Source organism: Homo sapiens, chromosome 1 (assembly GCF_000001405.40).
Source record: "Homo sapiens chromosome 1, GRCh38.p14 Primary Assembly".
In the NCBI taxonomy this organism is placed as follows: Eukaryota; Metazoa; Chordata; class Mammalia; order Primates; family Hominidae; genus Homo; species Homo sapiens.
In genome coordinates, this window is record NC_000001.11 from 143,625,035 (window position 1) to 143,638,917 (window position 13,883).

At 47.4% G+C, this 13,883-nt stretch overlaps 1 pseudogene, besides 1 other annotated feature; it reads right to left on the minus strand.

Moving 5' to 3' along the window:
- The window catches only part of NBPF17P (NBPF member 17, pseudogene), a 40,565-nt pseudogene extending 29,819 nt beyond the window's left edge, over window positions 1-10,746 (minus strand).
- Window positions 12,160-12,768: an enhancer, noted in NCBI's record as "H3K27ac hESC enhancer chr1:149131858-149132466 (GRCh37/hg19 assembly coordinates)". NCBI's record gives its function as "activates a minimal SCP1, AML or CMV promoter by ChIP-STARR-seq in naive H9 embryonic stem cells {active_cell/tissue: H9 hESC(naive)}" and the evidence as "EXISTENCE:reporter gene assay evidence [ECO:0000049][PMID:30033119]".

The window sequence follows — 13,883 nt, forward strand, 5'->3', positions numbered from 1 at the left end:
GGACTCAATCACCAATCCACCCCTTTGTGGATGGTGTCAGGGTTTCGTTTTAGCCTTTACTAGGGCTGGTCTAGAATAGGCCTTATTGTAAAGGGTGACACTTATTCCTAAAGCACAGCCTTTCCAGTGTCTCAATTGGATACCTGGATGCTAATGAGGTGTGCATGAGTTCTTCCCACCCTGGATGGCAGGAACTCCATCATCCATTCCCCAACCCTCTTCCACCACAAGTACTTCTGGTCCAAACTCAACTTTATAGCAGCCACTCCTATGTTAAATCTGTTAGTCTTTTTCTTGTGCAGGTACAGTCCATTCCTTGATAAGTATGCACATGGAACCCCACATGGACTTCGAGAGCTGCCCCTCTGAACAGCTGTCTCCTATTGGTGCCCTGCCCTGCAGATTGGAATTTCTTCAGTGACCTTGAACTCTGATCTCTGCCTTCTCAGCTCAGTGGGGATGCCCTGCTCTGAGAGGACTCTAGCCTACTGTGCAGCTGCTGAGAAATTCTCCCCAGACAAAAACTAGGAAATCATGGGGCTTCCACCTTAAGTTTCCTGTTGTACTGCCTGTTGTCCACTGTCTGAAAACAATTTTATGTTTGTTTATGGAGGCAGTCTGATATGACTTATTCTAACAGATAGAAGTAGAAATCTGTTATAGTCTTTTAATTACTGTGTCTTTATAGTATTATGGTAGACAGAATCCTAAGATGAGCTGCAGTGATCTTTGCTCTTATATAATCACTTCTTCCTGAGTGTAGACAAAGCCAGCGATGAGATATCACTCCTGTGATTGTGTTACAATTTATGGCAAAAAAGTTAGCAGATGTAATCGAGATCCCAAATCAGTCGAATCTAAGACAGAGAGATTATCTTATGAGCTTGACCTAAAGAAGGTGAATTCCTTGGAGGGACTGAGGTCTTCCTGGAGAAATGTGAAGTGCAGGAGGGTTTCCAGGCAGGGTGATTCTCCTCTGCTGGATGGAGAAAGCATGCAGTGGGAACGTGGGAGGCCTCTAGGAGCAGCAAGAGGCCCCTGGCTGACAGCCAGCAAGAAAACAGAGATCTCAGTCCTGCAGTCACAAGGAACTGAACTCAGCTGACAACCTGAGGAAACTTGAGAGGAAGTTCTTCCCCAGACCCTCCAGAAAGAAACCCAGCCTAGTTTCAGCCTGTGAGGCCCTGAGAAGAAGACCCAGCTAATCCAGGCCTGAACTTCTGATCTGTGGACACTGCAAGAAAGTAAATCATTGTTATTGTAACCCTCTAAAGCTTGCAGTAATTTAGTATGCAGCAATAGAAAATTAATAAAAGTAAAATGGAGAAGACTTTGGAGTGGGGACAAGAATGAAATGGTGGTAGAGGGATGCCTGTATGCTGAGATGGTTGATGCCTGTATGGTTGAATTGGGTCTACCATTCCTCATCTAATTAGCTATGGTCTATTAAGGTGCATAGCTATACATGAATATTGGTACTAGGTGAATCCAGAGGAATAAGATATTGCATTCTTGAGAGTAGATGAGAACACCCTGAATTGGTGGTCACCGTATCATATGTCATATATCAGGTCCCTCTGGGAAGGCCAGAGGAAGATTTACAGGATACACTAGTGACAACATTGAAGGCTTCTTTCTTCCCCAAAGGGAACCAACCTCCCCTCAGTCAAGACGTTCCAAGTCTCTGAACTGGATGCCAGGTTATAAATTCCCACTATACCGACTCCATCAAGCTTCTGTCCTCAGAACTAGAGTTTATCAGTAAAAGATAGACTCATGGGAGTCTAGGCATTTATTATCTTATTTTATATAAATCAGCTAATGTGCATGAACAAAACAGACTTTGAAGAAAGAAAGTCACAGTTACCACAGGAAAACAGCTTCGACATCCTCATGAGTCGTCATGGGTGTTCCATTGGGAGGACTTGATATGAGGCTTTCCTCCTCATGGGTTAGTACAGATCTGGGGGAAATGTCATCAAGTACTCGATTCAGAGTGTAGCAGCTGAGGCTGTTGATTCGTTAGGCCTCCTGCAGCTGGAGATGCAAGTAGTGCATTTTCAGGGCCACCACATGTGCCCTTAGGCTAGCATTCTTCAGAGCCAGAATCCAAAAAGCCACAGAAGCTCTGAGTATTTCCCTTTCCTCGGTCACCCACATAAATGGCTTCAGGTCCTTCTGGGGAAGGCCTGGAGGAAGATTTACAGCATACACTTGTGGCAGCATTGAAGGCTTCACTCTTTCTCAAGGGATCCAATCTCCTCTCTGTCAAGAATCTCCAGGTATCTGAACTGGATGCCAGGTCATAAATTCCTACTATGGTCTCTGTCCTCAGAACTAGAGCTTTTCTAATTATTACATACATTGATTTCTTAGTAGATTTCCCATCCATTACATTCCCAGACACCTCACGATGATTAGTAATCACCACAGATCCCTGCCTCTCAAGGAAATTCCTCCCACCTTGTTTCTAGATGGCCGCGTACCACTGCCTGTCCTCTACTCTTCCAGAACCCTATTGTTCTCCCTGACAGCAGGGAGGGCAAATCCATGCAGCATCTCCCGCCATGACCTCCAGCCTGCAGAGGAGAGGTGCCACAGGACCTTTACACGCATGCCACTGTTCCCCTCACCTGTGCATTTCTTAATGCCTTGGCGAGGAGAATGTCCCTGGATCTTCATTAGTGGGAGCTAAAGGAACAAAGGTAAATAATGCTATGGGATCCACTGAAAATTGGGGCTGTGGAAAAGTGGCCACTGAAGTAAGACAGATGAAGCTATTGTCAGATACTCAGTGCCAGAGCAGGGAGGGAGAGGAAAGAAATACAGACCTCACCTGCCTCTCACTTCCAGGCTCCATCAGGTGCCCCTCATTGCTAAACCTAACTAGAAGTGTGCATGCAGGGGAGCCAGGGATGCATTTTAGAAGGGTAAGCCCTGAGTGGCATAAGACAGGATGGAAATGAGTGGAGAGTGGATCTGTGGGAAGAAGGAGGGGATGTTATTGGGAAACAAAAGGAGAATACTAGCTAATAATGCTAGGTGACACTAATATTCCAAAGTCTGTGCTCATATTCAGAAAAGAAAGTTCAGCAGAAAGCACTAAACTAGGAGTCAAGATATTATATTTTCAACTGTTGTTCCAACAGCCATATTATAAAGGAACAGTTTATTTCATGCCTTTCTAATTTGACCTAAAGTGCCAGGTGGCATTGGGGCTGGCACAGCCTTGCTCAATTATGTGTTGAAGAGTACACAGAGACTGCCAGGCTGAGGGAAGATGCAAAAGAATAGAAGAGACGCTCTCAGGGAACAAGAGACCACACGGCCCCAGAGTCAGGGGCAGCATCAGCCACTGTTGGCTGCTCATTTCCCAGACAGAGCCCACAAGCCTCAGCCATGCTTTGCTTCTGCAAGATGCTTCTTCACCTTTTCAATAAACCTGCCTGAATTTAAGCTGATAGGGGTTTATTTCTCCTTCATCATAAATGAAATTTTTCACCACAACAATCTCCAGTGAATTGTGGGCACAGCAGGCAGGTGCATCCCTGCTTCTGTTCCACTACCTCCCCTGTAGGTTGAAAAGGAGGAGGTACTGAATTACCTCCAAATGTTCCTCTCGCTCTGATATTCTGTGATTCTGGTTTCTTTTCAGCTACTTTGTTTTTGGAAGCATGTATCCTAAGGCATCCAGCTGAACAACCTTTGTCTACTGTGTCCAGGCATTCCTGGTGGTATTTCAGACAAGACTCTCTGGGATTGCTGCACTCACAACCACTGAAACAATTCTATGACCATCCATTTCATGGCTACATGTTTGCTCATTTTGTGTGTTCATAAAGGGAGGGGACAGACAGCAAACTTGCATGTTACAAATTGTATCATCTTAAAAAGGAAACAAGGCAACACTTTGCAATAAAACCTTAAGATGCATTAAATTTAAGCCTAATGCAATAAAGAATGCCCATAAAATTCTTATCTAAAGAATGCTTAGAAAATTGTTGAACAAGGGACATCATCATTTAAAGTGATATGAAGAAACCTTCTTAGCTAAGCATATGGGCTAGATTAGAGAGAAAATAAAGGACCCATCTCTTCCCTGGAAAAACTACTGATAGCATCTTTCAAAAAGCTCTCTGTGATTGAGGATGCACCTTGATCCATAGGCTCACATTTGATTGCAACCGGCAGCTACTTCTTGGCATTGACATTGCATTCCCAACTAGTAAATCCTTCCAAGATCTGAGTTTCTGCAGATATGATATTATTTTTTTTGACCATCCTTATCTTCAAAGGCTACCAAAAAGGAACAAAGATTTTATTTACCTCCCCAAGGGAAAAGGTTTTACCAATGAGACACTTTCTTACCATGACCCCAGGGCCCCCTATGCCCTGTTCACTTGAGTGCCCTGTGTGGCCTGACAGAAGCTCATGCTGGTCACAGGATTTGTTACATAATTAACCTCCTTCCTGAATCCCAACTTCATGGTGGTGGTGATGACAGGTGTCCTGTATCCCAGGCTCATGTCCCTGAAGTCATCAGCCTGTCTCCAGTTAGAAAAAATTACATGTATATAGCGAGGTCTCTTTGGAAGTAGCAAAAGCTTTCTCACCTTCATACATTAATGGTTGGAATGTACAATAGTATAAACACTTTGGGAAAAAATGTCTGGCATATTCTTACAGAACTAAACAACTACCTATTCTATGACTCAGTAATTCCTAAGCATTTATCCAAGAGAAATTAAAACATATGCCCAGAAAATGATTTATACAAGAATGTTCATAGCAGTTTTATTCACAATAGGAAAAACTGGAAACATTCAAGTATCTGTCAATACAAGAATGGATCAATAAACTTTGACACATTCATTCCATGGAATGGCTAAAGGAACAAACTGTTGACACACAAAACAACATGGATGAATCTCAAAAACATTTTGAGTGCAACAGGAGCCACACACAAAAGAGTGTGAGAAAAAAGATAAACAATAATGGTTTCAAGAAATGCAGAGCAGAGAGCCCAGAGGCAAAGACCCACAGGATGGCAGGTCAGTCCCAGGCTGTGGATCCTAATTAAGAAACTCCTGCTGGATTTTGTCCAGCTCCATTTCCAAACTATTTTAGGTCAGTGACTTCTTTATCCCCTCCATGTTCCCTCATTTTGAACTAGAATCACTGTAGTTGTTATTCTATGTCTGTCCCATCATTTCAAATGAGGGGCAGATAAGCTGTTTGTTCAGTTTCACAGGTCAAAGGAGGTAAGGGAATTATGTCAAGGATCTGTACTCAGAGAAGGTAGGAGCTTGAGAAGGACTCCATGAGTTATTATTGGTTGATGATGGAAAAGAGAGGTAAGGAGGAAAGCAGGTGGCCTCTGGAGTCAGAGTGTCTCCCAGCTGACAGTCAGCAAAGACAAAGGGCCCTCAGTCCCCCAGAAACAAGAATAGGAAGGCCTTCAGTATCTGTAGTGAACTTGGAAAAATAGCTTGAGCTCTAGAAAAAAATACAGCCAGCCCATTCCTGGATTTTAGCCTCACATGACTCTCATCAGAGAATCCAGCTGCTTCATTCCAGACTTCTGTGGTTTCAAACCACTGGTTTGTGGTAATGTGATAATAGGCAGCAAGAGAAAACTAGTACAGGTGCCTGTCTCTCCTCTTGAATTTCAATTTTAGATACATGGATGCTAACCCCTCTAAGAGAAAAAAATTCAATCAATAAATCAATCAATGAAAGAACTACCATAAAAATATTGCCCTCACCTTTATGTGGCTGTTCCAGAGCCCTTGCCACCTGAAGAAGACAATGAGGGCTATTTCAGGCATGTGAAGAGTGTGGCTTTACTGTTATCAATCACATTTCTGAAAGAATAAAAATGGTTCAGTTCAAGCCATGGCTCATGTCTGTAATCCTAGCACTTTGGGAGGCCAAGGCAAGTGGATCACTTGAGGTCTAGAGTTAGAGACCAAATTGGCCAATTGGAGAAACCTTGTCTCTACAAAAATACAAAAATTACCCCGGTGTGGTGGCAGGTGCCTGTAATCCCAGCTACTCAAGAGGCTGAGGCAGGAGAATCACTTGAACCCAGGAGGTGGAGGTTGCAGTGAGCTGAGATCGCGCCATTGTATTCCATCCTGAGGAACAGAGCAAAAACTCCATCTCAAAATAAATAAATGAATAAATAAAAAATAAAGATGGTTCATTACTTAACTCCACATATTATTATATGAAAATGTATCACCTCAATTTTAATAGCAGATTTTTTAAAATTCCTTTTCTTGTGCTCACCAGACAAGGTTTGGTAGCAAATACCAGTCACCAGCACAGATGAACCAATTCAAGGAGAGCCATAAACAGGACTAATATTATGTTCCCCCAAAAATCATCCCTAGAATGCAATCTCTTCTCTACTTGTCACAAAACGAACACAATAGTCCACTATATAAAGTCCCAAACACAGGAAAGTGTAAATATAATGAAATCTGCTTTCCAAATGTTTATTCTATTCAGACCCAGTCATGGGGACCAGGGATTAGGAAATGACTACAAACAGGTTCAAGGGAATTTGGGAAGTGACAAAATATGCTGAAGTAGAACTCTGCTGATGGCTGCACAATTCGATAAATCAACTTACATCATTGAGTTGTACATTGACAATGGGTGACTTTTATAACAAGTAATTCTTTAAATGAACTTTTGGATTTCTATTCCAACATGGAAAGAGCTAGGCGGTCATGACTTGTCCTCACAGCTAGAAAAAAGCTGAAGGAACTGAAAGTCAACCCTTCTAGGGTAGACCAGAGAATTGAGGTCACAGGGAAAACTGCCATCTGAAAAATGAGAAACACAGGCTAACACACAAGGAGTCACAGCTCACAGGGAAGAGAAGCTACTGGGGACAGCAAGTGGGAGGAGCACTTAAATGGTATTGACAGATTACTAGAAGCTCAGGGTGGCCTGGCTAGAGCACTGAAAACTCCTTGAAAACCAACTAAGGGGGAATATCACACATTTCCAAGTTTTACTACAATGATCTCAACTAGGTTCTCATGATGAAGTTCAGAAAAACTCCCTGAAGTTTGGCACTACCAACTTCAGGGCTTATATTAAGCTACAGTAGCCCAAATAGGGTGAAGTTGGTGAAAAGAGAAAACACACACAAATAGATCCATGGAAAAGAATACAGAGCCCAGAAACAGACCTACACACAGTCCACTGATCTTCCATGAAGGTTTAGAGACAATTTAAAACAGCAAAGATAGCCTTTCCAACTAGTGGTGCTAGAACAGCTGGACAACCACATGCAAATGTATATAGATAGATAGATCCAGGTGTGCATGTTCTACCCTTTATAAAATAAATCTTACATGTAAATGTAAGGTGCAAAACCATAAGAATCCTAGGAGATAACATAGGAGAAAAATCTCGGGGATCTTGGGTTCGATGATGGCTTCTTAGATACAAAACCAAAAGCACAATCTACTAATGAAAAAAAATTAAGTTGAGCCTCATTAAAATTAAAAACTTCTGCTCTGTGAAAGACACTGTTAAGAGAATGGAAAAAGCAAGTCACAGACTGGCAGAAAATATTTACAAAATAATCTGATGGAAAAACTGCTGTCCAAAATATATGAAGAATTCTGAGAACTAAACAACACAAAGCAAAAAAAAAAAAAAAAAAAAGTAGGTGAAAGATCTGAACACCTCATTCATAAGATATACAGATGGCAAATAAGCATATGAAAAAGATGCTCAAAATCATTTGTCGTGAGGGAACTGCACATTAAAACAGCAATGAGATATCACTGTAAACCTATTAGAATGGCTAAAATGCAAAAAGGTGAACACACCAAATGCTGTCAAAGATGAGGAGCAACCAGAACTCTCCATAGCTAGTGGAAATCAAAAGAGTACAGTCACTCTGGAAAAGTTAAGTTCTCTCAAAATCCTGCACATAAGTACTTAGAGCAATTTTATTCATAATTGCCAGAACTTGGAAGTACCCAAGATGTCTTCCACCAAGTGAATTAATAAACAAACTGTGTTGTAGCCATACAATGAAATCTGATTCAGTGATTTTTAAAACACAAGCTATCAAGCCATGAAAAGACATGGAGGAACTTAAAGTACATAATGCTAGAAAGAAGTCAGTCTGGAAACCTGCATACTCTATGATTCCAACTCTAGGACATTCTTGGAAAGTCAAAAAGATAGAAATAGTAAAATGATGAGTGGTTGTCAGGGGTGGAGGAGAGGAGGAGGCACGAAATGGTGAAGCACAGGGAATTTTCAGCAGTGAAACTATTTTGCATGATGCTGTATTGGGGATTTAGGACATTATGTAATTGCCAAAACCCATAATCTGTGAAACTCAAAGAATGAACTCTAACGTAAACTATGGACTTTAGTTGATAATGATGTATCAACAGTGGTTCATCAATTGTAACGAATGGGCTACACTAATACAACATACTAATAGGGGAAATTGTGTGCTGGAGGACAGGGGAGCCTAGGAGAACTCTCTGTACTATCCACTCCATCTTTCTGTAAACCTAGAACTGTTCTAAAAAATAATGTCTATTAATTTTTTTAATTAGGATGCAGCAGCCCCATATCAAGGTTTTGGTGGCATCCTGTTATTGTGTGGTTAGTACTTGGCATTGAAGTGCACCAACCTGGAGTCAGAGCAGTTGGAGATTTCAATGCCTGTGCCATTTACCTCTAACCCTGGGGTGCCCCCGGAATACAGCTAGCAGATCAGTTAGGTAGAAGCAGCCTCAGCAATCTAGACAGTGCAGGCTTCTGGTAAGGACAGGTACAAACCATCTGGGTGGGCAGAACTTGATGAAGACTAGGAACCACTGAGACTCAGCAGCTGCCCCAGTGGCACCCACAAATCAAAGGAGGGGGCTGGAAGGAGCTCAGGGCTACACGATGAGCTCCCTGCCTGCAAGACAGAAGCAGCTCCAGAGATTTTGGTAAATAATGTAGGTTTCAGTACCGTGTGGTCTATTCAAAAAAGTAGAACAAAAAGGAAAGAAAAAGAGACAGCATGAGAGAGAGAGAAAGAAAAAGGAAAGAAGAAAGGAAGAAAGGAAAGAATAGAGGGAGGAAGGAAAGGAAGAAGGAAGGAAGGGAGGGAGGGAGGGCGGGTGGGCAGGATGGAGGGAAAGAATAAAGAGAGAGAGAGTTGGAGGGAAGTAGGGAAGGAAGGAAGGAAGGAAAGAAGGAAGGAAGGAAGGAAATTAACAAATTTACATGAAGATGAGAACATCCAGGGGAACTTACACCACCAATATTTTCCATTAACAGGAACATGCTAACTAGTTATTAGAGAGAGACACACTACTGTGAAACCATATACTGTTTCCATGGGGTACAACACCTTCCTCCTCCTCTGAAACACATTCTGTCTCTGGCCCACTGTTGCCAGAGACACTGAGTCTTATCTTTGGATAAGTTCTGGTGCCCACAGGAATGAGATGAGATGGTGGACTCCAGAACATCAGGCCATGACCTTTCCTGCTGCTCCTTGTCCACTCCAGAAGCTATCCAGCTGCAGGTGGGGGCCTCAGCCCCTGGGTCTGACATAATCCATTTGCCATTCTCAATGGACTTCTCTCCTTGCACTGGTTCCCACTCCCCCAGGACCCAGTGGGTGACCACATGAGAAGGACACAAACAGGCCATGTCCCTTTCTTTCTCCCCCTCTCAATGCCTGCAGTGGTGGGTTCCATTGGGTAGTGACCTGAGATTTACTCATTATGGGGCCTCTAGCCCAGACCAGGGCCTGGTACCTAATAGTCACCCCATGAATGCCCAGTGAAAGAAGGTGTCCACCACAAGGTCCTGGGGAACCAAGAATTCCACCGTGGCCCATAAATTCTAAGTCCTACAGGATTCTGGAATTGGAGATGGGAAAGGCCTTCAAAAGTGGCCACTCTTTTAACCTATTATACTGGCAACTGAGCCATGTTTCCCCATCCTGGACACATCTAGAGGGCACTGCCTAAAACCAGACACATCTCCCCACCCAGGACAGAGCAGGGGCCTTAGTCTGGGGGATGCGGGTGGACAGGGAGGGGGTGAGCCACAAAAGCTGAAGAGGAGAAAGCAGGTGAAAGGGTACAGCAGGGTGGAAACACAGAGGAATGGAGGCAGAGAATGGGGGTTGAGAGGGGAAGAGACAGGAGAGGGATGCAGATCTAGCTACTAAGGAAAAGTCCTGGAGAGAACACTGTCCTCTCCTGAAGTAAAATCACTTTCACCTGACCACAGCACTTCAGGTTGAGGGTGGCACAGGCTGTGAATATTTGTTCATTCATTTAACAAATATTTATTTAATATCAGTTTCATGCCAGGCAAGGCCCTGAGATGTTTAGGGACCTTGGCATCTTCCCTTTACATCTGAGTCATAATAGAAAGAGGGCCCTCTGACCCCATCAAGCTGGCAATGCCTCAGGATTTTTACCTGTTGGATCTAGCAGCTCTTCATGTCGGCCCACACCATGTGAGGCTGCTCTTGGTGCACTGAATGGGGAAGTTTCTACGTCAGTGCCTCGGAGAGTCCACTGGAAGCCCTGGACAGTGGGAGTCGGTGGCACCCCAAGGGTGGAGGCCAAGAGCACACAGCACTGAAGCTCCAGACACCCTCAGGAGGACGGTAAGGGACTATCAGCTGGTGAGAGCCTGGGTCACCAGGAACCTTTGCCTGGGTCTAAATAGGATTTGCCTTCAGATTGCCTATGAAATAAAAGAAAGAAATCAAGGTTAACATTGAGATTTGGGGCTTCAGCAACTTGAAGGATGGAGCTGCCATTTACAGAGACTGGGAAGACCCAGGGAGGAGCAGGTTGAAAGGTGGTGGGGAACTAGAGTTGGTTGGGTTTCTGTCATATGTAATCAACAGTCCTGACCACCTGTAATCCTAGCACTTTGGGAAGCCAAGACGGGTGGATCATGAAGTCAGGAGATCGAGACCATCCTGCCTAACACAGTGAAACCCCGTATCTACTAAAAATATAAAAAATTAGCCGGGTGTGTTGGCAGGTGCCTGTAGTCCCACCTACTTGGGAGGCTGAGGCAGGAGAATGGCATGAACCCAGGAGGCGGAGGTTGCAGTGAGACGAGATATCTTGTTACTGCACTCCAGGCTGGGTGACAGAGTGAGATTCCATCTCAAAAAAAAAAAAAAAAAAAAAAACCAGTCCTGACCAGCCTGGGCAACATAGTAAGACCCCGTCTCTGAAAATAAAAAATGAAAAATTAGCCGAGCATGGTGGTGCACACTTGTAGTCTCAGCTACTCGGGAGTCTGAGGCAGGAGGATTTCTTGAGCCTTGAGTTAGAGGTTACTGAGCTATGATGACACCACTGCACTCCAGCCTGCGGGGAAAAAATAGAGTCCTGACTAAATACTTGAGTAGCCAGGGAAGTTTTCACAAAGTATTTGAGGCAGATCTTAGTGAACAAGAATTTGATTATTTCTGTTAGGGAATTAAGAGAGTGTGGGTGTAGTTGCTTAATGCTTATTGAACTATCTTTGGAATCTCATCTATTGGTCTATCTGGTCTATCTGTACATGTATATTCTATACACTGTCTCACTGAATTTTCACTAGGTTATGCTACAGTAACAAAAGCCCCAAAATCTTAGCAGCTACACATACAAAGGTTTATTTTTCATTGACATATACCTTTTTGGCAGGTTGACTATGATTCTGCTCTATACAAGCTATTTTATTTGTTAGACGGTTGAAAACTGTCATACTTGGAGATTGTTGAATACGGTATTAGTATGTTATTCATTCATTCATTTAACAGATATTTATTCGATATCTGTTTCATGCCAGGCAAGGTCAAGTACTGAGAATACAGTGGTGAATAAAAGAGACAAAATCTCTAATTTCCAGGAGCTTATGTTGAAAATGAGATTGAACACATACAAAATAATCATAATAACAATAATGAGCCCTCTCCCTCTCCCTCTCCCTCTCCCTCTCCTTCTCCCTCTCCCTCTCCCTCTCCCTCTCCCTCTCCCTCTCCCTCTCCCTCTCCCTCTCCCTCTCCACGGTCTCCCTCTGATGCCGAGCCGAAGCTGGACTGTACTGCTGCGATCTCGGCTCACTGCAACCTCCATGCCTGATTCTCCTGCCTCAGCCTGCCGAGTGCCTGCGATTGCAGGCGCGCGTCGCCACGCCTGACTGGTTTTCGTTTTTTTTTGGTGGAGACGGGGTTTCGCTGTGTTGGCCGGGCTGGTCTCCAGCTCCTAACCGCGAGTGATCCGCCAGCCTCGGCCTCCCGAGGTGCCGGGATGGCAGACGGGGTCTCGTTCACTCAGTGCTCAATGGTGCCAAGGCTGGAGTGCAGTGGCGTGATCTCGGCTCGCTACAACCACCTCCCAGCCGCCTGCCTTGGCCTCCCAAAGAGCCGAGATTGCAGCCTCTGCCCGGCCGCCACCCCGTCTGGGAAGTGGGGAGCGTCTCTGCCTGGCCGCCCATCGTCTGGGATATGAGGAGCCCCTCTGCCTGGCTGCCCAGTCTGGAAAGTGAGGAGCGTCTCTGCCCGTCCGCCATCCCATCTAGGAAGCGAGGAGCGCCACTTCCCCGCCGCCATCCCATCTAGGAAGTGAGGAGCGTCTCTGCCCGGCCGCCCATCGTCTGAGAGGTGGGGAGCACCTCTGCCCCGCCGCCCTGTCTGGGATGTGAGGAGCGCCTCTGCCCGGCCGCCCCGTCTGAGAAGTGAGGAAACCCTCTGCCTGGCAACCGCCCCGTCTGAGAAGTGAGGAGCCCCTCCGTCCAGCAGCCACCCCGTCTGGGAAGTGAGGAGCGTCTCCGCCCGGCAGCCACCCCGTCCGGGAGGGAGGTGGGGGGGGTCAGCCCCCCGCCCGGCCAGCCGCCCCGTCCGGGAGGTGAGGGGCTCCTCTGCCCGGCCGCCCCTACTGGGAAGTGAGGAGACCCTCTGCCCGGCCGGTCGCCCCGTCCAGGAGGGAGGTGGGGGGGTCAGCCCCCCGCCCGGCCAGCCGCCCAGTCCGGGAGGGGGGAGGGGGGGTCAGCCCCCTGCCCGGCCAGCCGCCCCGTCCGGGAGGGAGGTGGGGGGATCAGCCCCCCGCCTGGCCAGCCGCCCCGTCCGGGAGGTGAGGGGCGCCTCTGCCCGGCCGCCCCTACTGGGAAGTGAGGAGCCCCTCTGCCCGGCCAGCCGCCCCGTCCGGGAGGGAGGTGGGGGGGTCAGCCCCCCGCCCGGCCGGCCGCCCCGTCCGGGAGGTGAGGGGCGCCTCTGCCTGGCCGCCCCTACTGGGAAGTGAGGACCCCTCTGCCCGGCCAGCCGCCCCGTCCGGGAGGGAGGTGGAGGGGTCAGCCCCCCGCCCGGCCGGCCGCCCCGTCCGGGAGGTGAGGGGCGCCTCTGCCCGGCCGCCCCTACTGGGAAGTGAGGAGCCCCTCTGCCCGGCCAGCCGCCCAGTCCGGGAGGGAGGTGGGGGGATCAGCCCCCCGCCCGGCCAGCCGCCCAGTCCGGGAGGGAGGTGGGGGGTCAGCCCCTCGCCCGGCCAGCCGCCCCGTCCGGGAGGGAGGTGGGGGGGGGTCAGCCCCCCGCCCGGCCAGCCGCCCCGTCCGGGAGGGGGGAGGGGGAGTCAGCCCCCTGCCCGGCCAGCCGCCCTGTCCGGGAGGGAGGTGGGGGGGTCAGCCCCCCGCCCGGCCAGCCGCCCCGTCCGGGAGGGAGGTGGGGGGATCAGCCCCCCGCCTGGCCAGCCGCCCCGTCCGGGAGGTGAGGGGCGCCTCTGCCCGGCCGCCCCTACTGGGAAGTGAGGAGCCCCTCTGCCCGGCCAGCCGCCCCGTCCGGGAGGGAGGCGGCGGGGGGGGGGTCGGCCAGCCGCCCCGTCCGGGAG